Source organism: Homo sapiens, chromosome 7 (assembly GCF_000001405.40).
Source record: "Homo sapiens chromosome 7, GRCh38.p14 Primary Assembly".
In the NCBI taxonomy this organism is placed as follows: Eukaryota; Metazoa; Chordata; class Mammalia; order Primates; family Hominidae; genus Homo; species Homo sapiens.
The window spans coordinates 25140052-25165227 of record NC_000007.14 but is presented as its reverse complement, the minus strand read 5'-3'; the positions used below and the strand labels follow the sequence as shown (position 1 = coordinate 25165227).

Genomic DNA, 25176 nt, shown 5'->3' with positions numbered 1-25176 from the left:
AAGTATATAAGACACATCAAGGCAGAAAATAGGAGAAGCGACTGTAGTCCTCATTCCCACACCTGGTCATGAGGCTATCATTGGTGTTATAATTTCCTTCCTCCAGAAAAGAAGTCATTATATGAAAAAGACACTTGTACACACATGTTTATAGCAGCACAATTCGCAATTGCAAAAATACGGAACCAGCCCAAGTGCCCATTAACCGAGTAGATGGAGAAAATGTGGCATAGATATACCATGGAATACTACTCACCATAAAAAGAAATGAAATAATGGCATTCACAGCAACCTGGAGGGAGTTGGAGACCATTATTCTAAGTGAAGTAACTCAGGAATGGAAAATCAGACATTGTATGTTCTCACCTAGAAGTTGGAGCTAAGCTATGAGGATACAAAAGCATAAGAATGATACAATGGACTCTGGGGACTCAGGGGGAAGGTTGGGAAAGGGGTGAGGGATAAAAGACTACACATTGGGTACAGTGTACACTGCTTGGGTGATGGTTACACCAAAATCTCAGAAATCACCAGTAAAGAATTTATTCATTTATTCACCACCTGTTCCCCAAAAACTATTGAAATTAAAAATGCTTTTATAAATAATAATAATTTCCTTCCTTCACTACCTATTCCAAGTTCCCTTGCCCTCAGCAAATACCTGAGCTGGTAGGAGTATGTTACTTGATAGAACAACCCAAAAGTATGTTCTAAGAGATCTTAGCTCTTAGTGGTTCTGCCTGTGTGTAAGGCTGCTATAGTGTTTCATTAACTCCATGCTACTGAAGACAATACTAGGTGTTCAAAAGGTTCCCCAGGTTCCAGAAATACTCCTTTCCCCCATCATTGTGTAATATCCTCTGGCCCTTGATATTCAGGATCAGTCATCCTGCCCAAAATTACCACATCATTATCAATTCAGCTTCCAATGCAATTGGAACCATTGTTGTACCCCCTGATGGAAGCATTTCTCCCTTGACCTCTAAACCACCAAAGCTCGAGGTAGCTGGGGAGGGAGTCAAATTTTCTCAAGTGTAACCATAAGTATAACAGTAAGACGCACCACTCCCACTTCCACTCTTTGGTTTTCAGACCATGCATTCTGGCTAAGGGGGAATCTATTTATTGGTCACTGGTTCAGAGCGTGTCCCACACTCTTTAGGACAACACTTAGCCATAATTGAATATTCAGTAAGCCATCCTAATGTTCGGTAAGTATGGCAAAACCTAACATTCTATCAATACGGTGAATCATTTGAATTCAACCAACTGTTGCCCAATGTCTTTTGCAGTACATTGAGTTCCTTAGTCAAAAATAATATTGTTTAATACGTCATGGCAATGAATGAGACATTTAGTAAGTTTACTGATGATGTTACTTGCAGAGGCACGGTGAGAAGGGAAGGGAAATCCCTATTTTGAAGAAGTGTCTAATCTTATGAGGATAAGTTATCTCTTTGATGATGGAAGGGGTTCAATGTAATTATCCTACCACCAGATGGCTGACTAGTACATCCAGGGATAGGTCACCCTATCAAGTGCTTATGATTGGTCACTTCTGATGGCAAACTCAAATTTGCCAATAGCCAGGTGAGTCTTAGTGAGGGAAGTTCATGTCACTGAGTCCATATGTGATAATTTCTGTGCTGCCGCCATGATCACTTCGTTATGAAGCCACTGAGCAAGCACCAGGGTGACTGGAGAAAACCTGACACACACACAGCTGGTCGTTTTATCTACCTAATTATTGAGAACATACTCAATGGCGTGTTTCTCTAGGTGAGCATTCTTGTGGGGTACAAATAACCCTCACACTCCAGGGCCATTCGGAGGCTGGAAAAAGCAAGTTAAAAAGAATGATGTAGATCTATGTTTGTCTACATTTACAGACATATGGCTATTTCTAGATTATAGAGAGAAAAAAAACCAAAATTGCCTAATACTATGTATCCAGTGATTCCACACATACAGGAAATGACACTATATTTTCAATGGGTACATTGTTTTTAATTTCTCACAGTATTCTACAATACGGATGCATCATAGATTATTAGCCGTCATGTATTCTTTTCTCTCTGTGTCTCTTTTTACATTAACCGTACTTTAAAAAGCATCCTTGTACAAGGCTTCTTGAGATCATGCTCAAAGGTTTCTAAAAGGCAAATCCAGCTGGGCGCAGTGGCTCATGCCTGTAATCCCAGCACTTTGGGAGGCTGAGGTGGGCGGACCACCTGAGGTCAGGAGTTGGAGACCAGCCTGGCCAACATGGTGAAACTGTCTCTACAGAAATTAGCCGGGCACGATGGCGGGTGCCTGTAATCCCAGCTACTCAGGAGGCTGAGGCGGGAGAATCATTTGAACCCAGGAGGTAGAAGTTGCAGTGAGCTGAGATCACGCCATTGCACTCCAGCCTGGGTAACAGAGCAAGACTCCATCTCAAAAAAAAATTTAAATAAATAAATAAATAAATGCCAAATCCTAAGTGGGTCATAGTATAGGGATTTTTTTAAACCTTAGTGCATGTAGCACAAATGATTTATATTGTCATGGTAGTGTCTAAAAGTATTCATTTCCTCACACTCCCGGCCATCTATATTATCAAAATGTATAGTTTTTGCCTATCTAATGAATATAGAGGGTATCATGGTTATGAGAATGCATTTCTCTGCTTACTAGTTGGGTTGAGTACTTTTCTTATCCTTTAGGTATGGCCATTCTACATTTCCTTTTCTACGTTTATTCTTCGCCCATTTTTATTGTTTGTATTTTACTTATAGATTCTTGTTGGTTCTTTATGTTCTGGAAACAATCCTTTATGTGTTATCTTTATTAATATTTGCAAGTATTTCTTCTAATTTTTATTTTATTTGAACTTCTACGGTTTTGTCTGATAATTTAATTTGGGTTTTTTAGTTTTTTTATTTTTTATTTTTTTAATTAATTTTTTTTTTTTTTTTGAGACAGAGTTTCACTCTGTTGCCCAGGCTGGAGTACAGTGGCATGATCTCAGCTCAGTGCAACCTCTGCCTCCCAGGTTCAAGCAATTCTCATGCCTCAGCCTCCCGAGTAGCTGGGATTACAGGTGTGGGCCACCACACCCAGCAAATTTTTTCTATTTTTAGTAGAGATGGTTTTCACTGTGTTGGCCAGGCTAGTCTCGAACTCCTGGCCTCAAGTGATCCGCCGACCTCAGCCTCCCACAGTGCTAAGATTATAGGCGTGAGCCACCACTCCCAGCCTTATAATTAAATTTGATGATCAAATTTTCTTTCAGGCTTTTGACTTTTAAAATAGAATTATTGTTTTAAAGGTCCTTCCTACCACCAAAGAAAAAGCATATTCCTATACATTTTCTTTTAATTTTTGTACAGGTTTTTCCCCAAATACTTTAGATTTTTAAATCCATCTGAAATTATCTTTCTGAATAATTTCAAATGAATACTGAATTTTTTCTATATTAAAAAATACATCCTGGCTGGGCATGGTGGCTCATGCCTGTAATCCCAGCACTTTGGGAGGCTGAGGCGGGAGAATCATTTGAGTCCAGGAGTTTGAGACTAGCCTGGGCAACATAGCAAGACTGTCTCTACCAAAAAAAAAAAAAAAATCTATAAATAAAATAAATAAAAAGTTCTAACATTTTAAAAAAGAAAAATACATCTTTTTTCCCCTGGTTTAAAATGACACCTTTGGCCAGGCACAGTAGCTCATGTCTGTAATCCCAGCACTTTGGGAGGCCAAGGCAGGAGGATCTCTTGAGCCCAGGAGTTCAAGATAAGTCTGGGCAACATAGCAAGACCTCGTCTCTATTTATTATAAAATAATAATAAATAAAATGACACCTTTTCATATATTGAATTTCTACATATATGTGGATATGTTATTAATCTATTTGTCTTTTACTATCTCACCATTATATTGTGTTAATTTTAAAACATGTTTAATTTAATCTTTTCTTTCTTTTCAGAAAGCTTCCTGTTGAACAATTTTATTATTTGACCCAGAACAAAAAAAGTGATGTCTATGGAAATGATTCTTTGTAAGTCTGGGTTTTTTTCCTTATATAAAATCAAATAACATTTTTAAGTGGAAATGAGTTATATGAGACATTTTTAAAGCCCCAAATGGGGACTTTTAGAGAAACAAATTATTTCTTTTTTAAAATAGAGACAATGCCAGAAACCAAGACCAAACAAACAAAAGCAAATAAATAACAAACCAATAGTTTTTAGTGTTTAAAGAAATCAAGAAAAAAAAACAGGAGCTGATGAATAGTAATGTTCAAAGGGATTCCTAAAAGTTATCTTGGTCCATTTTCCTGCCTTTGACCTACTTACCCAACCTAGTAAGAATCTGCTACATTTATTAAAATATCAATAGAAAATGCCATAGTGGCCCTCAATAAATTTTCAACCAGAATTTTACAAGGATAGAAGTTTTTTATTATCATCTACAAATAACTCTTAATAACACTTCCTAAGTATTATTTTTAACGTAAGGCATACTTGTTAATTTACCCGTCACTTAAAGGTATTCTTTTCAAGTGTATTATTTTGTTACACTTTTAAATAGTTTGTCGTGTACATTACAAAAGCATACATTTTTATTTTTAGATAAAAATAAAACACAGCTGGGCACAGTGGCTCATGCCTGTAATTCCCAACACTTTGGGAGGCTGAGGAGGGTGCATCACCTGAGGTCAGGAGTTCAAGACCAGCCTGGCCAACATGGCGAAACCCTGTCTCTACTAAAAATATAAAAATTAGCTGGGCGTGATGGCAGGCGGCTGTAATCCCAGCTACTAGGGAGGCTGAGGCAGGAGAATCACTTGAACCCAGGAGGCGGAGGTTGCAGTGAGCCGAGATCACGCCATTGCACTCTAGTCTGGGCGACAAGAGCAAAACTCCATCTCAAACAAACAAACAAATAAATATTAAACACGACAGCATAGAAGTAATAATGGAACTATCACTTCTTTATTAAGAAGTACTAGTTGTTGATAGGTAAAAATTTAATATAGAAGTTAGCCACTAGATGGCGCCAAAAAGACAAAATTTGTGGTTGTCTCGGTTTATCCCTTTGGTGATTTTTGCAAAGCAGATGTGAAGGGTGGCAGTAAAATTAATGGGCTGATTTAGGTCAAGGAAGAGGTGTCTCAGCATTTGTTACTTTCATTTTATCTTTTCAGATCTTGAAGTTTTAAAAAAGATTTTATATTTTAAATTTATTTTTTTTTTTCATTTCGAATCAAATCAAAATGGCATATGCTTTTAGGCATATGCTTATCAATATTGTAGTGGAATTTGTCACATAAGAATAATTTTAGATGCTAGCTTAATGTATTATATATAGTTGCCAATCTATTAATAACAACTCTAGATTCCTTGGATTCATATATTCATCACTTCCCTGCCCTTTGTGCCCCCACCATCTTTCCAACTCAGTGATGTTGATGGAAGATAGAACATGCTTTTTTTAGTTTCGTGCCCACAGATTTAGAGTTGAAATTTAAAAAGATATAAACTTTTATAGTTCATGAGAGTCAGGTGTTTATAATACATTACAGGATAATAAATTTATATGGCTTACATGCCACTTTCTAGGGAGTATCTGCTAGCATGGAGGAACATCTAAAAAATTAAACAGTGTATTCAATTTTACTGACTTTTACTATCAAATTGATAACATTCTGTTCATTTTTCACACCTGGAATCTTTCAGAATTTTATTTGCATAGGCTGAAACGAATTGTTGAAATCCAATGTAGGTGGATGATTACCCGTCTTTAGTCGACTTTTTTCCAGGGCTACAGGATTATTTCTTGGCATGCAAGGTTCGGAGTAATTAGTAAATGCACAGCCTTGGAATGAACTGCTTCAGAAAAGGCATGCTTCCAGGAACTTGGTCAGTTTTGTTCTATTCCCTCTGCTGACCGGGCAACATTTACTATCATGAGAGATCAGCAACACAGAGCAAAGGTAGAAAGCATACATGGTACTTAAATATCCTCTCCAGCTGGGCCACACTCGCGTCACTTTAGGCTATGAAATTGCACCCCATGTATAACGTCAGGCTTCCTCAGAGCACTCTGGCTACTGCCTGACTATGAGAGTAAAGGTCAGAAAGAACCAGAGCTCTCTTATCATTAGAAGTAGTCATCCCTTGTATCTTCACCACAAATGGAAAATGCAGAAACAGTGGTGAGGTTAGAATAAATGGATGGAAAAATTAATCAACAGACAACTGAGATAAGGAAACAACATATGCCTGTCTTGTCAATATTCAGGAATCCAGAAAGTTAATCAAGAACATTATCTTAATGACATTACAGTTTGAAAATGGGGTATATCATTATTATTATTTTTTTTTTTTTTGAGACAGACTTTTGCTCTGTCACCCAGCAACCTCCACCTCCTGGGTAATCCTGAGTAGCTGGGATTACAGGCATGCACCACCATGCCTAGCTAATTTTTTTTGTATTTTTGGTATTTTTGGTATTTTTCTATTTTGTATGTTGCCCAGGCTGGTCTCGAACTCCTGAGCTCAAGCGATCCGCCCACCTTGGCCTCCCAAAGTGCTGGGATTACAGGCATGAGCCACCATGCCCAGCCTATATCATTAATCAAGTTTCTAATAGGGATATAAACCTTTAAAAGCCCTCAATATAAGTTAGAACTTGTTTCCTGTTTTTATTCTAGGATACCCAAGCCGCCTAATTCAACAGTAGGGTAAGTAAATAACTTATATTTTCCTTCTCTGTTATAATCAAAGAAAAAAAAATTGACATTTCCTATGTCTTAGAAGTGTGAAAACAAGTGAGACTTCCCATGAAAACGTTTCTTTTTTTTTTTTTTTTTTTTGAGACAGAGTCTCACTTTGTCGCCCAGGCTGGAGTACAGTAGTGCCATCACAGCTCACTGCAGCCTTGACCTCCCTGGGATGAGGTGATCCTTCCACCTTCACCTCCCAAGTAGCTGGGACTACAGGTGTGCACCACTATGCCTGGCTAATTTTTGTAATTTTTGTAGAGATGGGTTCTTGCTATGTTGCCCAGGCTGGTCTTGAACCCCTGGGCTCAAGTGATCCGCCCACCTCGGCCTCCCAAAGTACTGGATCACAGGCGTGAGCCACAGTGCCTGGCCTGAAAACTATGTCTTAACAGTTGGAAGGAAAGGCTGGTACAAGTCCAGGGTAACATTACTTTGATTTCTCTCCTGTTATATCCCCTGAAAATCTTTTTTAGTAAATGTTTTATTTTCGTATAATTTTAGGTTTATAGAATTATTAGAAGATAGTGTGGAGAGTTCCCATATACATCACACGCAGCTTCCCCTATTGTTAACATCTCACATTAATATGGCACATTTGTCACAATTAATGAAACATTGCTGATGCATCACTGTGACCCAAAATCCATGCTTTATCCAGATTTCCTCAGTTTTTCCTTCATGTCCTTCTTCTGTCCCAGGATCCCATCCAGAGTACCGCATTACATTCAGTCACCATCTCTCCTTAGGTTCCTCTTGGCTGTGACAGTTTCTCAGACTTCCCTTGTTTTAATGACCTTGACAATTTTTAGGATTATTGGTTAGATATTTTGTAGAATGCCCCCAAATTGGGCTTTGACTGACATTTTTCTTATGGTTAGACTGGGATGATGTATTTGTGGAAGGAAGACCACAGAGATAAAGTTCTGTTTTCATCGCATCGTAGCAAGGGTACATGCCGTTGGCATGATCTATCCCTGGTGATGTTAACCCTGACTGCCCGGCAGAGGTGTCCTCAGCAGGTTTCCCCGCTGCACACACACTCTTTCTTTCCTCCTTTCCACACTGCACTCTAGAAGAAGTTCTCTGTGTGTCTGTGTGCAGCCCACACTTAAGGCATCTGGATTTATACTCCACCTTCTTGAAAGCAGACTACCTGCATAAATTATTTGGCATTCTACATGGGAGATGTATCGATTCCACTCCATTTGTTTATTTATTCAATCACTTATTTCTCTCAGTATAGACTCATGGAAATTTATTTTGTGCTTTAGTACTTAGGTAGCAATCCAATACCACTTTCTTTTGTTACTAAGATTGGCAATGAGGAGCTCTTTGAGTTCGCTCCTATATTCTTTTGACATTTCCCCATCATCGTGGGGTTTTGGCTTTCTTTTTTTTTTCCTTTTAGCATTTCCTTTCTTTCTGTCACTCTGCAATAATCCAGGCTCATCTTATATAATAGCTTCCAGAGTGGCCGGGCGCAGTGGCTCATGCCTGTAATCCCAGCACTTTGGGAGGCCGAGGCAGGTGGATCACAAGGTCAGGAGTTCAAGACCAGCCTGGCCAACATGGTGAAACCCCATCTCTACTACAGATACAAAAAATTAGTTGGGTGTGGTGGTGAGCACCTGTAATCCCAGCTACTTGGGAGGCTGAGGCAGGAGAATCCCTTGAACCTGGGAGGCGGAGGTTGCAGTGAGCTGAGATCCTGCCATTGCACTCCAGCCTGGATGACAGAGCAAGACTCTGTCTCAAAAATAATAGTAATAGTAATAATAACTCCCAGAAACCCTGACTCCTTTGATTGGGGACAGGTGTTAGAAGCCGAGATCTGAGCACCCAGTATCCTCCGTGCCACAGGAGTCCTCTATCAAGCTTAACAGAAATTATTAAGCTGCCATTTAAAAAATTGTGTTTCAGCTAAAGACCTATTCAAAAGGCTATTAAAATTAACTTCTAGGTTTTTTTGGTCTTTCTATTTTTTAAAAAACGACAAAGTGAAGAACCCTTGTCTTGAGCTTTTCAAATTCTCTTCATAAACAGTTTGAAAAGTAAAGTCCTTTTTGTTAGGTCATATTTCTTGGATTCACCTTTCTGCTTGTAGCCTGGCAAGTTCCAAGGTGGGAGGCCGGAAGTCTGAGATGAAGACCTCAGCAGGGTTGGTTCCTTCTGAGGACTGTGATAGAGACTCTGTCCCGTGCCTCTCCCCTGGCTTCTGGGCTTTGCTGGTGATCTTTGGCACTCCTTGGCTTGTAGATGCATCATCCCGATCTCTGCCTTATCTTCACATGGCATCCTCCTCAGGTGTTTGTCTGTGTCCAACTTTCCCTTTCCTAAAAGGATACCAGGCATCTTGGGTTAGGGGCCCACCCTGCTCCAGTATGGAATAACTCGGTCTTAACTAAGTATATCTGTAATGACCCTATTTCCATACAAGGTTACAATATGTGGCCCTGGAGACTAGGATTTCAATATATGGATGAGGGCGGAAGGGAGGAATTCAACACATAAACACTTGGTCTTGCTTTTTTCTGCTTAATTTTCTTGTTATGAATAACATTTCTCTATCCCATGGACTTCCTAATTTTGCTTTTCTTCTAGTTTAGACAGCTCCCACATGGTTTTTTTTTAACCTCTGCCAGTTCTCCAAATGATAGGAAAATTATATCCCTATGGTCTCTTTAACATGTTTATTTTTTCCTTCAGTGTGCTAGCTGTTTTTGGCTTTTTGATTTTGAAGCAGTACTGTGTATATAAACAGGGGTTATATTTTGTTGATTGTTGATTGTTGATTGATTGCTTAAAGAAACAGATGGCCTGGGTTGAAAGTTCATTCAAAGATGGTTAGAGATCACTTTGCTGAAGCAGAATGCCCAAAACAATTCCTGGGAGCCTCTTAAAATAAGACACAGTAATTAAAAGCAACTATACCATTCTACAAACACAAAACTCATTTATTTTTTGCTTTATATTTTTTATACGAGTTATGAAACTTACTCACTGACAAAGAATTGGGCATGATTTATTTTAAAATTAAATTTAGTTTTGTCTAGCAAAATTAAGAAAATGTCCTGTTTTGTGGTATACATTCCAAGAGAATGCTAATTCCATGAGCACAGGGACATTGACTCACTGTCCTATCCCCCAGCATTAGAACAGTTTCTGCCATTTAAAAAAGGGTCCCAATAAATTTTTGATGATTAATTTTTTCAACCATACTTCTTTCTGTTCTTTTCATTTTGTTTTGTTTCCTCAATAAATCTTAGAGAGATCTGCTTGCCATATCCAATTGAACACCCCTACCACACACACATCTGTCGCGGCGCCATGTTCCCCACCTTCACGTCACCTGAGGACCTCTACACGGGCATTAAAGCCCGCACCCAGCAGCCCTTTCCTCCCACGGTGCCAACCAAGGCTTATGATTCAACAGTTTTGAAGACAAGAGGTAAAATGTGACCTGGAATCAGAACTGTATTAATTCTTATTATTGGGATTTCTTCAATAATAAAATTAAAGCAAGGAGCACAAAGGACTCAAGTCACAAATGTGTGACTCAATAGATCAGGAAACTTGTTCACAGCTGCGACTTTACAAATCAGCTGGCGCGCCACCATGGACCCATCAAATCAGACTCTCTGCAGGTGCTCCCAAACTTTCCCCTTGACACAGCCTCTCATGTTACAATCAGAAACCAAAACGTTGTAGAATTGGTGGTTTTTATTCCACTTCTATTTTCTATTTTTATTTCTTTCCTGCTCTCACGGTTTAGCTTTTAAAAATTTCATCCTAGCCCAGGTGATCAGCACAAGGGACAGTGTTTGCATCAATCACAGAGTCTGGACGTGGATGCAGCAGTGATAGAATTGAAAGATCCCCATTGAAATAAGATGCAGAAAGCAATGGGAGTAGTTTGTTCAGTCCTTCTTAACACCCTGGAGCAGGTTCTCCCAGCTGCAAACCTTGGAGTCTTTGTGAATGTGTTTTATCAGGAATCCCGTACACTAGTCATCGAATCTCTCCCACACTAGACACCTCGGTCTTTGCTGAGGAGTCCTACACATGTGCGTAAACAGAGAGGCCACCTCTGGAGAAAGAGTGAAAACACTTGAGAGAGGGACAGAAATGATACATGGTAGGCAAAGACAAATATTTGTTGAGTGCATTTAGGTGAGGTAGAAAAGACTCAAGAATTGTCCTATCCTGCAGTTCCTCTATACATGAATATTTGGACCAAAATGCAAGGACAGAATATTGCCATCGTCAGCCTCAACCTCGGTGTCTTATTAGCAGACAGTAACGTTTTGAAAGCTAACATAGTGGAATATGTAAGAGCATGGATTCTAGAGTCAGACTGCATGAGTAGAATTCTGGATCTGCCACTTACTCACCTGCGGTCCATGGGAGAGTTTCTGAACTCCTCTGTTCTGCTTCGCAGTCTGCAAAATGGGAATATTATTAATAGAACCTACTTATCAAATAACAGAGATAAATGTTAGCAGTTATTCTCTTACCCTGCTAGCGTATAATGACTGCAGTATGTGTGTACCATGCTGAACTTTCCCATTGCCTCTCAGACTAGGCAGCATTGGAAAAAGGCAGTGAAAGCTGTATCAAGTATACTGGCTGTTAGTATCGAGCACCATGCTTAGCTCTATAGCAGAAGTGGGGAGAGATGGTGCCATGCAAAAGAACTATAAATGTTCTAAAGGAAATGATAAGTATGATACATAAACAAGTAAAATTTTTATGACTTTGTTACGTAAATTGTCAAAGTAGATTTCTTTTTCTCAATCCTGAATTCAGTAATTTCTGAAATTATCTGAAGTACACATAGTTAGCAAGAAATCACAGAAATATGTGTTGAATTCATAACAACACTTTTTTTTTTTTTTGAGACGGAGTCTTGCTCTGTTGCCCAGGCCTAGAGTGCAGTGGCACTTTCTGGAACCTCTGCTTCCCGGGTCCAAGTGATTCTCCTGCCTCAGCCTCCCAAGTAGCAGGGACTATAGGCACGTGCCACCACACCCACCCACCCACCTAGTTTTTGTATTTTTAGTAGAGACAGGGTTTCACCATGTTGGCCAGGCTGGTCTCGAACTCCTGACGTCAAGTGATCTGCCCGCCTCAGCCTCACAAAGTGCTGGGATTACAGGCATGAGCCACCATGGCCAGCCCATAAAAACACTTTTCAGTGCAGTAACATAAGGGACTGAAAAAACAAGTTGTCATCTTAATTTCCTGCTCTTCCAAGCCTCTACCTCTCTCCAACCATTCAGTCACTATTAGGGAATTTTTAAAAGATGAGCATCCTCTAACAACCCTTATAAAAAAATCTTTCCAGGAACTAGTACAGCATTAGGTTTCTACTCTTCCACTTATTTTAATTCTTCTTTATTAGAACTAAGAAGCATGGGCCAGGTGTGGTGGCTCATGCCTGTAATCCTAGCACTTTGGGAGGCCAAAGTGGGCAGATCACTTGAGGCCAGGAGTTCGAGACCAGCCTGGGCAATATGGCAAAACTCTGTCTCTAGTAAAACTACAAAAATTAGCCAGGCCTGGTGGTGCATGCCTGTAGTCCCGGCTAATTGGGAGGCTGAGGCATGAGAATCTCTTGAACCCAGGAGGCAGAGGTTACAGTGAGCTGAGATCATGCCACTGCACTCCAGCCTGGGTGACAGAGAGACTCTGTCTCAAAAAAAAAAAAAAAGAGAGACAACGAAGGGAGGGAGGGAGGGAGGAAAAGGAAGAGAGAGAGAAAGAGGAAGGGAGGGAGGAAGGAAAGAAGGAAGGAAGGAAGGAAAGAAGTTAGGAAGTTAAGAGTGCAGACTCTAGAATCAGATTGCCTGAGTTTGAATTCTACCTTTGAGATGTGGACAAATCACTTATTCTCTCTCCGCTTCAATTTCTTTATTCACTAAAGTTGGAATAACAGTACCTTTCTTATAGTAATGTTAAAAATTGCATGTGATGATGTATATAAAACAGTACAGTGACTGGCACATGGTAAGTGTTCAATAAACACCAGCCCTTGTTCTTATTACATATGAAGATGGGTGTTCAGAACATTCTTTAACTTGAAACTTATCACGAGAGCAAAGCGAGCCATGCTGTTTGGTAAAGCTTATCAGATATAAAACAAAATCTAAAAAGCTGTATTGTTTAAGATGTTCCCTTTCAATACCTTTTTGGTAAGCAAGTACTAACTCAGTTTCAGAAAACTTGATATTTAGGCAGAGAAAAGCCAAAACAGATAATATAGAAATGTATTTGTTGAGCCCCCAGAGGCCAGAAAAAAAGATCAGAAAGAGGATCCAGGAACACTTACTATTTACCTAAGATCTCTCTCATTAAGAAGAAAGGTGAAGTACTAGTGACTCCTATTACTACTGAGAGCACTAGGGTTAAAGACTCATTCACACTCTGTGTGGCCCACATGCTGCTCCTGCACATGCTCAAGAATTCAAGAGCAACAAGCCAAGTGTGGTGGCCTGCCCTGCCCTGTAGTCCCAGCTACTCAGGAGGCTGACGTGGAAAGATCATTTGAGCCCAAGGGTTCAAGTCCAGCTTGGGAAACATAGCAAGACGCTATCTTAAAAAAAATAAAAAATAAAAAGAATTCAAGAGCAAGCTGAATCTCTCTAAAGCTGTAACTACATAGGTAAAATGTACACCAACATCCATCTCTACCTTGTATTATCTCATTTCTATTTATTGTACCTATTAATCCTCTAAAAGACTGTTCTTATTTATTGCTTTTCCTGAAATTTTCAGGTAATCCTTATAGATATGAACTGATTGATATTCCCATGGATTCAAAGAAGAAAGCACTGACTTGGCCAGGTCAAGGTGTATATTATGATGTAAGTATCTTTTTAAATGTGTGTTTAAAGGAAAGTAACAAATATTTTTAGTCAATACCTTTATAAAAATCTAGGCTTGACATGGTGGCACATGCCCATAATCCCAGCACTTAGGGAAGCCAAGGTGGGCAGATTGCTTGAGGTCAGGAGTTTGAGACCAGCCTGACCAACATGGTGAAACCCTGTCTCTACTAGAAAATACAAAAATTAGCCGGGTGTGGTGGTGCATACCTGTAGTCCTAGCTACTCGGGAGGCTGAGGCATGAGAATCGCTTGAACCTGGGAGGTGAAGTTTGCAGTGAGCCAAGATCATGCCACTGCACTCCAGCCTGAGCAACAGAGTGAACTCTGTTTAAAAAAAAAAAAAAAAATCTAAAAGTTTATTTTCATTTTCTATCTGAATGTAAAATTTGAGATTTTGACTATGATTTACATTTTTCAGTTTTCTTAGCTGATTTCATGTGCTGTTGGTAGTTATGGAACATTCCACAGTTACCAAAAAAAAAGATTGCCCCCAGGAAGATGGTGGAGGAGGGCTGCATTTCTCACACTGTGTTCCTCCAACCCTATTCTTACAACTTATAATACCTCCAGTCACTCCAAATATGCAGAGAGTAAATGGGAGATTTCCAGAAAGATTTGCAAGCTATTATTGTTCCAGCCATTATTATCATATTGGTGTCAAGTTTAAAATGAAATAAAGCAATAGCCACCATTTATTGAGAAATTGCTACACATCTAACCACTCTAAATACATCATTTAACCCTTTCAATAACCTCCTAAGGTTAGCATCATCATTTCCATTTTATAGATAAGGAAACTGTGACTCAGAATTTGTGACTATGTCATGATCACAGAAATCTGGTTTGTGAAGTTCTAGTCTCTGACCTTAACCTCTGTCCCATAACTCCACATGGATAAAAAGAGAAAATTATAAATCAAGAGGGAAAATATCTAGACGTTTGAAAATAATAATAGCTAACATGGTTGGTGAGAAGCAGTGCCAAGTGTTCTCCATATATTATCTCTTGGCATCCAGCAATCCATGAGATAGGCAAGTGATAATTTTGGGAGGTTGAAAACATTTGAATTTTACCTGGCAAACCACTGTGACAGGCCCAGCATGTGGTCATCGCCATGTCACAGAGTCATCTATAAAGTAAGTCATTTCCCGTTTGTTTTTTTATAGTTAAATGTCAAAAAGAAGTCCTAACGAAGCGTCTGTTTTACTGGATCTCTTTCAGTTTTTAAGCAAAATCTATATCTAAACAACCCAGAAATATGAGAGTTATTCTAGAACCCATCCTATCATTACATGTTCTTATAGCCAAAGGCTCCAGATCTGTAGCTAAGTTTCTTCCTAGTCATTAAAATCCTGTTTTCCTCATGTCACATTCCTTGGCAGCCATCCTGAATAGCTCCCCTCTGCCTGAGTGTAAATCCCTATGCCTTAACTGAGGTGCAGAGACCCCTCAGGATCTGCCCTTACCTCCAGCCTGCAGCCTGGCCCCACCCACTGGTTCCCAAACAGGTTCATGCCATTTCCCTTCCTGGAATGCCCTCCTCCCAAGGCCTCTCTGCCCAACACTTGCTAATTCAAGGCTCAGCTCAACCCTCTTTGTTTCTGTTATGTAGCAAAGAGAACCAGGTCAGGAGGCCTGTGTGCTTGCTGGTCACTCCTCTGTTGCCATTTACTGTGTGAGTGATACTAGGCAGATTATTTCCCTTTTCTGAGCTTCAATTCATAAAACGTATCTGGGTAATTTCACTAAAAATCTGTCCTGTAAATTTCACAAGATAAGAGGATCATATGAAAGATTCAAAACTAGAAAATACTATAATTTATAAGGCATTATTATTACTCCAGCAGCAGAAATGATATCTCCCTCATCTGACTTCTGCCACACATACTGTAACCAGTAACTTTTCACGTATTTCATATTTCATCAATTAAATTATGAGTTATTTGAGAACAGAATGTGTTATGTGTATATCCCCACAGTGCATTGTACATAAATATTTTTGGCTGATTTATTTATTTATTTCTTATTTCTGATGATTAATCCCACTTTCTTAATCTTTATTAACTGCTCTTAATTTTCAACCTTTCACATTTTCTTCTGGCTCATCCCTAACTCTAATCAAGTTTTGCATTTCCCTGGACAAAGAAGTAAAAATAAAATAGATGCTGAGCTTCGTGGGAGTAACTCATGACTCACCTTTTTTTCTCTCTAATCTCTAGGATAATACCCTATACTTGTCCTTCCTATTTTTCCTGCCTTTTGTCATTTAATTGGGGAGGTAATCTACAGTGTTCTTTATCTACAATGTTCTATTCCTATTAAAGGATTTTTTTTTAAGAGATGAAGTCTCATTATGTTGCCCACTAACCAGAAAGGGGGAATTGTTAAGTATAGCCTACAGCTACCTCCTCATGTCTTTTAAGTTTGGCCTAAAGATTTCTCCATACAGAATGAACTGCAGCCTAACTGGATGCATAAACAGACTGTAACCTACTCTTGTGCCAATCACCTAGTTTTGGCCAATCAAAGGCAGCCAACTGTTCAAACCGTGTTCAAATAAGACAAACATTAAGGTGTAACCAATCTGGCTGTTTCTGTGTCTCACTTCTGTTTTCTATAGGTCACTTTCCTTTTTCTGTCCATAAACCTTCTTCCACCACCTGGCGGCGGCAGAGTCTCTGAACCTATTTTGGTTTGGCGACTGCCCAATTTATGAGTTGGTTTTTGTTTAATTAAATGCTTTAAATTCTAAAATATTAAATAAAAATGAGAAACAAAAGAAAAAGAGATGGCCAGATGCAGTGGCTCACGCCTGTAATCCCTTTGGGAGACACTTTGGGAGGCCAAGGCAGGTGGATCAGTTGAGGTCAGGAGCTTGAGACCAGCCTGACCAACATGGCGGAACACTGACTCTACTAAAAATACAAAAATTAGTTGGGCATGGTGGGGCATGCCTGTAACCTCAGCTACTCAGGAGGCCGAGGCAGGAGAATCGCATGAACTCGGGAGGCAGAGGCTGCAGTGACCCGAGGTGGCACCACTGCACTCCAGCCTGGGTGAGAGTCAGACTCTGTCTCAAAAAAAAAAAAAAAAAGAGGCAGATTCTGTCTCATGCTGCCTTTCTCAGATCTATTAATTATTTAACACCAGGCTGGAGTGCAGTGGCTGTTCACAGGTGCAATCATGGCACACCATATCCTCAAACTTCTGGCCTTCTGCATCCTCCTGCTTCAGCCTCCTAAGTATCTGGGACTGCAGCTGTGCACGACCACACCAGGCTCAGGAGGATATTTTTTATAGTATTTACCTTTCCTATTGCCAGAGCAGTGGTCCTCAACCTTGGCTGCACATTAGAATCACCAGGGGTGCAGGTTGCACCCCACACCAATTACATCATTCTCTGAGAATGGAACTCATAACAAGAATGCCTTGTTTTTCAAGGACTTGTAACTTGCATTTCTGGGATAATAGTCTTCTCCCTCCTTCTGCTCTACCCAGGGAAGGAGAAGGGACACTACTAACCTGATAAGCAGGTCCAAAAATGTGTAACTTAGCTGCAAAACAGAAAACTCCGGGAACCGTATGTTAGTACTTTCCCTCCAAGCCAATAAGAAAATATGTATAACATACTGCTCTAAAACTTATCAGTTCTGTGACCTGGGTAACATACTTAATCCTTCAATACCTAGTTTCCTCACAGATAAAGCAGGAATAATAATAAAATCTACCTGATAATGCTGTCCTGAGAATGAAATACACAGAAAAGCACCCAGCACAATATTGGTACATCGTAAGTTCATAATAAATATTAGCTGCTATCGGTATTATTATTACAATGGTTATAATACTTTGTTGACCTAGCAACATAAAGAAATGGGTAACCTTGGAAAGGAGAATATTCCACATAAGAACGTTAACCTTTTAAAAATTAAGTCCCGGGGCTTCATGTTAACAGTGTGTTAAATGTCGTTTTTCCCTCCTCCTTTCACGTTGCATGTGGATGCAGCAGCTGTGCCTTGAGCAGCTACTGAGATCAGACGCCCCTTTCCCACCCAGACCCCAGAGCTGCCCTAGCTTTGCCTCTTTGGACTGGCCCAGTTTTCCCCACCAGAGTCATTAGTGATCATTGTACTTATCACTCTATTCGGGGCCTCTCCTGCTACCCTTCTCTTCCCACTGAGATCTCTTCTCACTGACCGTTTCCATCTGTTACCAAACCAATCAACATTCCTTTTCCTTTTCCAATTGGCAAACATAAATAGGTTTTATTTTTATTTTGAAATGGAGTCTTGTTCTGTCACCCAGGCTGAAGTGCAGTGGCACAATCTCGGCTCACTGCAGCCTCCGCCTTCCGGGTTCAAGCAATTCTCCTGCCTCAGTCTCCAGAGTACCTAAGCCCACAGATGTGCGCCACTATGCCCAGCTAATTTTTGTATTTTTAGTAGAGATGGGTTCACCCTGTTGTCCGGGCTGGCCTCAAACTCCTGGCCTCAAGTGATCCTCCCTCCTCGGCCTCCCAAAGTGCTGGGATTACAGGTGTGAGCCACTGTGTGTGGCCCATACATAGGTTTTAATACTTGACTCTTCTGGGCTGTTGGTTTCATTGCTTACTCAAGTGAAGGCTTTTGTCCTGTTTCTCAAGAACTTGAATGTCTAGCCTTAGCTTTTAGGATATGAGAATAGTCTCTAGGATGTAATCTACCTTGTAATCATTTTTTGATAAGATGAGATATAATCACAAAGGTCAAGTGCCATAAACCTCCTTACTTTGGACTTTTTGAAATGTTTTTAACAAAACCATTTTCAAAGCCTCACTGAGAATAACACAGTGTTCATTACAACCCAGCTTTCTGCAAACCTAAATATTTGGACAGACCCTTGGCTTCCCTTTGAAAGAGAGCTCACTGATATCACCCCTTCAAAGGGGAGCAGTTTTTCTTCTTGATCCACCTGCCATCTTTCCAATCTAAAATGCCCATTCCCATCCTAGAGATACTTTCCTCATTCCAGGGACAATTCTCTCTCCAACATACCACCCATACTCCACACTCATCCTTAAGTGGCCATAATGAATTTGGTGATCATGCAGGGACCTCCTTTAGAAAGGAGTCATCTTACCAAATAACTGGATGCCCACAGTGCACCTCTCCATGACTGCCAGCACCCTGTGCCCCCTCCCACCTGCTCAGGCCCATTGACAGACAAGGTGCCCAGAATGGGAAACAAACTGTCTCTCTCTCTCCTCATCTTCTGTCTCACACCCGCAGTGTTCCCACCATTCCATCTCAGGCAGCGCTGTTATCCAACCAGGCGTCCTCTTCTCCCTTCAGCCGTCTCTCTTTCCCAAGCCCTGACTAGAGGCCAAAAATAATTCTCTCTGCCAGTCTCTCATTTGCTCCCTCTCTCCATCTCTCTCTCTCTCTCTGTCTTCATTCCAGATGTAAATGAACGAAGTGCCTTATCATAACCTGTTAGTGTAAAAATGGTGCTAATAGAATTAATTAAAATATCTAATAAAGAACCAGTATTCCCAAATGCTAAAGCCTCTGCAAATGGCAATGTGGTCTCCACAGTAAACCTTTTAACCTCCCCTATTTAACCTGGTTAAGCCCCATCATTCAAGACTAAAATAAAACAAAAAAAAAAACTATATTTGCTTTTTTTGTTTCATTTAATATATTACAACCATGTTATTTTAGTGACAATTTATGGAGTTTTGGTGCCTAGCACAGAACTCTCAGAACCTTGTACATGGTTTTGCATGCAATAGGTATTCAGTAAATGTTTATTAAATAGGTTATGAGTTACATATATTATATGAGCTATGCTGGGAATGTAACCACCATTTATATAGTACTATTCCTCTGAGAATATATTCCAAATTCAAAACAACTAATGTCACTTCTTTGTAGACTGGAGTGTCTGTCTAGAAACTAACATCTCAGGAACTGGAATTCCTTTCTGCCGTAGGCTTATCTTCCATATCAGATATAAACTGTACCCTGAGTTTAGTGTATCGAGCCAATGAATACCTTTGGAGTGAATGACTTCCACCACCCCTCTCTCACTATCCTCTCAGAGTAACATCCCTTTAACATACTGAAAATTGGCCAGTTCCCCTCTCAAATGTTTCCTGCCTCTTTAGCCCCTTCTCAAGACATCACACGCTACAGTAAAATTTCACATTGCTTATTTCCTTTCCCGTGCCCTTGAATGTGTTTCAGTAGATCTCTGTTGTTAGTTCAACCAGTGTAAGATACAAGATTAATCCAGCCTCATAGAACAATATTTTTTTAAAAGTCCTTCTTGGCCGGGCATGGTGACTCATGCCTGTAATCCCAGCATTTTGGGAGGCCGAGGCAGGCAAATCACCTGAGGTCAGGAGTTGGAGACCAGCCTGGCCAACCATGGTGAAACCCGGTCTCTACTAAAAGTACAAAAATTAGCCGGGCGTGGTGGTGCACATCTGTAGTCCCAGCTACTTGGGAGGCTGAGGCAGGAGAATCACTTGAACCCGGGAGGCATAGGTTGTAGTGAGCCGAGATCGCACCACTGCACTCCAGTCTGGGGGACAAGAGCAAGAGCAAGACTCCATCTCAAAAAAAAAAAAACAGTCCTTCTTATTTCCAAGTAAACTGGCTCTGCAAATAATGAAAAAGATAAGGAGATCAAAAGGGGCTTTCTTTATCCCTGAATAAGTAAGCCACATATTTGTTAAAGGTTTATAGGGGTAGCAGTGCCTTTTACCATGATTACTGTATATGTAAAATGGAATCACTCTAATCTCACAGGGTTGCTATGAACAGCATAACCCTTAGGCCCAGGAACTTTAGAAGGCCCCACACTTTAGAGGGCCAGTTCTGGCCTTCCTCTGGCTGTGGCCCTTTCTGTGGAGCAAGAGGATATGTTCGTCTGGAGCCCATGCTCCTCTGTCTCCCTCCCCTGACCATGATCTTGAACCACAGAATTCCCTGACCAAATGGCTTTAAACCCAATCCTAGGCCCTTCTTAGGGTCTCTTCCTTATGTCCATCTTCCCAAGGGTTGGCAGTGCTGCCAAGCTGGTATATACCTCATGGCCAAAGGAGTGACCAAAACATGACTGCATGCCTGTTTGCTAGAAGTGAGGTGGTGGGTAAATGGGGCGGGTAAAGAAGAAAGCAGTCAGGGTGCTGAGGCCAGGGGCCAGCGGCTGGCTCTCCCTGAACCACCCTGTCCCAGTGCAGAACTCGAAGTAGTCCAAGAAGTCCAAATTTAAACCTGGTCTTCCAGGTTGTTCCAGAGATATTTTGTCAAAGCAGGTGAAAGGAACATATTTTATTTAACATTTATTTACTTGATTTATAAATTTAACTATTTAGTGAAATGGAATACAGACTTCCATTTGTACTTTCATCCCAGGCCCTCAAGTGTTAAGGGTGGGCCTGGCTGTGAGGGCACCCAGCAGCCTAATGTTGAAGAAATGCTACTTCCACACTTGCCACCACTATCCATACCTCTGCTCCTGCTGTTCCTTTGGCCTCCACATCTCTGCACATCATTCAAGGCCCAGTTTCTGCATATAACATGACATGGCCTCTTGTCTTCACCCTCCCTCCCTGTTTCCCAGCTCCACTTCCCCATTCAGGTGAATTCAATCTCTCCCTTCTTTGAACTTTCAAATAATTGTGTCTCATGGTCGAGCATGGTAGCTCATGTCTATAATCCTAACGCTTGATAGGCTGAAGTAGGAGGATCTCTTGAGGTCAGGAGTTTGAGACCAGCCTGGGCAACATGATGAGACCCTGTCTCTACAAAAAGTATTTTTTAAAGAAAAAGCCAGGAGTGGTGGTACAGGCCTGTAGTCCAGGCTGTTCAGGAGGCTGAGGCCAGAGAATCACTTGAGCCCAAGGGTTGGAGGTTTCAGTGAGCTATGATTGTACCACTGCACTCCAGCCTGGGTGGCAGGGTGAGACCCTGTCTCTGGAAAAAAAAAAAAAAAAAAAAAAAGTGTCTTTACTTCTTTTATGACAAAGAATTACTTGTTAAAATCTTTTTGTCATTTGTGTTTCATGGTTTATCTCCCCTACTAGCCAATATGTTCCTGGATGGCAAGATTTGTTTTGGATCCATGCTTGTTTGCAGCCACTACTGTGCACATATAGGTGCTTAGTAAATATTAAGTATCATAAGAGAGATACTGAGAAAAGGTGAATTTCTAAGTAATCAAAAAGACTGCAGTGAAACTCACTTATTCACTCATGTTTACATGCATAGCTCTTTTGAAAATATAAAATAAAACTCTCTAGTTACGTCTGAAGAATGAAAATTTTATTTGAATTTGAGTGATTTAAACTTCATTGGAAATTCATAAAAGACATCAAATGGTTTCATTTCAGGCATGGAAGGAAAAGTAGAAGGCACACAATTTTAGCTAAACTTAGCCAAAAGACCACCTTAGAGCCCTTTGTATTGCTAATAAAATTTCACTGGAGGTAGAATATTCAGGGACATTTCTCCAATACACATTATCAAAGTCCCAGCTAAGGCAAAAGACTTTTAGAAAAGACCTTACCATTTATTTGATAGAATATTGTGTTTAACTCTATATATGGTTCCAATTATAGCAATTAGTAATTAACTAGTAATTAATGACAAAAAAAAAACCATTCTGACGTCAGCCTGGAATTTCCTTTGCCTCTTTCCTGCTGAGATCATGAATCAGGTCTTATTCTACTAGATGACATTAACAGCAGTAATCTTTATGTTCATATTTTAGTTTCCCAGAGGTGTTGAGAAAAATAAGCCAGTATTCTACCCAAAACCTCCTAAAACCTTCGCTCCTAACACTTCTTTAAATTCATGGGACCCTATTTGCTCTGCCAAAGAAGCCAACATACAAAGAAATCTTGAGAGGTCCCACTGGCTCACTTCGTACACTCATGATTTTACAGGTATGAGTTCACTTTCATACAAGTAAAAATTAGAACAAAATTGGAATATTTAACAAATGCTATGACAAGCTTTCAACTTCTCATGTTTTTGCCTTTTTCTCAAAGTATTTAAATCCTAAAGTATTTAAATAAGAATTAAGGTGGGTGGTAAATTTCTCTTCATAGGTAGCTGGGAGGTAGGGTTGGTTTTCATTTTATTGGTTCTAATTATATTACAAAAGGAATGGGTAAGTTTTCCTATAAAGGGTAATATAACTGTCGTTCTTCGTTTACCCTAACAAAATAATAAGGTGATGTTTCCATTAAGGTCTGGGGCCCATGGACCCCCTTGAACTGGATGATTACCATGAAAAGATGGTAGCAGAGTTAACACGAAAGATAGGATTTGACCCAGAGCCGGTAAGTAATTGCAGTCAACTCTCAGTTATTTTGGGGGAGAGTGCTGGGCTCCTTCTTGCTTTGCCACTTTTTGTGTCCTGGGTTTTAGCAACCAAGTTAGCAAATGGAAATTTTTACTTATTTTAGAAGTGAATTCTGAGCTGATTTGAACTGGTTTGAATACTTTGTCTGCTGTTTGGGAAAACAAGCAAGATTTCTTTTCTTGGGCCAGGCGCAGTGCCTCACACCTGTAATCCCAGCACTCTGGGAGGCCGAGGCGGACAGATCACGAGGTCAGGAGTTCGAGACCAGCCTGGCCAATATGGTGAAACTCTGTCTCTACTAAAAATACACAAATTAGCCAGGCGTGGTGGCACTCGCCTCTACTCCCAGCTGCTCAGGAGGCTGAGGCAGAAGAATCGCTCGAACCCAGGAGGCAGAGGTTGCAATGAGCTGAGATCGTGCCACTGCGCTCCAGCCTAGACGACAGAGCGAGACTACGTCTCAAAAAAAAGAGATTTCTTTTCTTCTTCAGAGTGGTTTTTTTTTTTTAACAGATTTTCTACTATGCTACTGTTGCTGAAATAACTTACAAAAGAAGCAGTTTACAAAAGAATTTAACTAGTGATTTAATGAGATTCCTAGTAAATTCCGTAGATCTTTGCTTTTTTTTTTTTTTTTTTTTTTCCTTGAGACAGAGTCTCACTCTGTTGCCAGGCTGGAGTACGGTGGCACGATCTCAGCTCACTGCAACCTCCGCCTCCTTGGTTCAAGCGATTCTCATGCCTCAGCCTCCAGAATAGCTGGGATTACAGGCACGCACCACCACACCCAGCTAATTTTTGTATTTGTAGTAGAGACGGGGTTTCACCATGTTGACCAGGATGGTCTCGATCTCCTGACCTCGTGATTCGCCCGCCTCGGCCTCCCAAAGTGCTGGGATTACAGGCGTGAGCTACTGCGCCTGGCCCTTTGCATATTTATATATCTTGTACATTACCATTGCTTTTGAAGAAATAAAGGCTTCCTCCTGATATTCATAATAATTGAGAGCTGGCTGAATTACAATGAAAAGCCAATACGTTCTCTGCAGATATCAGTAGAGACTTTTAAATTGATTATGCGAAATGGCCTGGAAGAAATAATCAAGCCCTTTAATGAGCAAAAGTATAATCTGTTGGTTTAATTATGTAAATGAGATGAAATGACCTAATAGTTTGCATATGTGTTGTTTTATTTGAGGCCTAAATTTTATTCTCGACGACTACAAATTTTGAAAACAAAATTAACATTTTAAAGGTATATAAATTGTGAAAAACACAAGGAAAAACATCTGTAAGATTATTTCAGTTTGAACACTTTAAAAACTGAGCTGGGTCAGGCTCGGTGGCTCATGCCTGTAATCCTAGCACTTTGGGAGGCTGAGGCGGGTGGATCGCCTGAGGTCAGGAGTTCGAGACCAGCCTGGCCAACATGGTGAGACCCGTCTCTACTAAAAATACAAAAATTAGCCGGGCGTGGTGGTGGGCGCCTGTAATCCCAGCTACTCTGGAGGCTGAGGCAGGAGAATCGCTTCAGCCAGGGGGATGGGGCGGAGGTTGCAGCAAGCCAAGATCATGCTGGGCGGGGGGAGAAAAGAAAACAAAAAAACTGAGCTGAGGGCCGGGCGTGGTGGCTCTTGCCTATAATCCCAGCACTTTGGGAGACTGAGGCGGGTGGACCACCTGAGGTCAGGAGTTGGAGACCAGCCTGGCCAACATGGTGAAACCCTGTCTCTACTAAAAATACAAAAATTAACCGGGCATGGTGGCACATGCCTGTAGTCCTAGCTACTCAGGAGGCTAAGGTGGGAGAATCGCTTGAATCTGGGAAGCAGAGGTTGCTGTGAGCAAAGGTTGTGCCACTGCACTCCAGCCTGGGCAACAGAGTGAGACTCCATCTCAAAATAAATTAATAAATAAAATAAAAACTGAGCTGAACATACTGATTTTACATTTGCTTCAGCATTTCCTAAGGTGATATAAAATCATAACACCAGGAGCAGGTTTATAGGCTGTGTTTTATCATTCACTGAAGGGTTTTTAATAATTTTTTTGTTGAATTTGCAATGAGCATTCTCTAAGTATAGAAAATATTATATGAACATATGTTGTCAGGTGTGTTCAACAACTGTCCAGATTTCCAGAGATTCGACCCTGTATGGTATGTAC

The 25176-nt window shown here is 40.5% G+C and overlaps 1 protein-coding gene and 1 long non-coding RNA gene across 6 annotated transcripts in view; one reads left to right on the top strand and one right to left on the bottom strand.

The window, feature by feature from the left end:
• The window catches only part of LOC124901603 (uncharacterized), a 61442-nt gene extending 50232 nt beyond the window's left edge, over positions 1–11210 (bottom strand). Inside the window, exon 1 of the long non-coding RNA XR_007060261.1 lies at positions 11161–11210. This is a non-coding gene — a long non-coding RNA (uncharacterized LOC124901603). The remainder of the gene's footprint in view (positions 1–11160) is intronic.
• The window catches only part of SPMIP4 (sperm microtubule inner protein 4), a 54583-nt gene that overhangs the window by 15127 nt on the left and 14280 nt on the right, over positions 1–25176 (top strand). For 4 of the 5 annotated variants that reach the window (XM_047419891.1, NM_001371352.1, NM_001371351.1 and 1 more), the window contains 6 exons: positions 3968–4039; positions 6698–6727; positions 10036–10217; positions 13544–13632; positions 22414–22588; positions 22896–22987. In XM_047419891.1, coding sequence (XP_047275847.1) covers positions 3968–4039; positions 6698–6727; positions 10036–10217; positions 13544–13632; positions 22414–22588; positions 22896–22987 — 640 coding nt within the window. Of the gene's footprint in view, positions 1–3967; positions 4040–6697; positions 6728–10035; positions 10218–13543; positions 13633–22413; positions 22589–22895; positions 22988–25176 lie in introns of those variants that run through there. The other variant, XM_011515125.3, reaches the window with a different exon arrangement.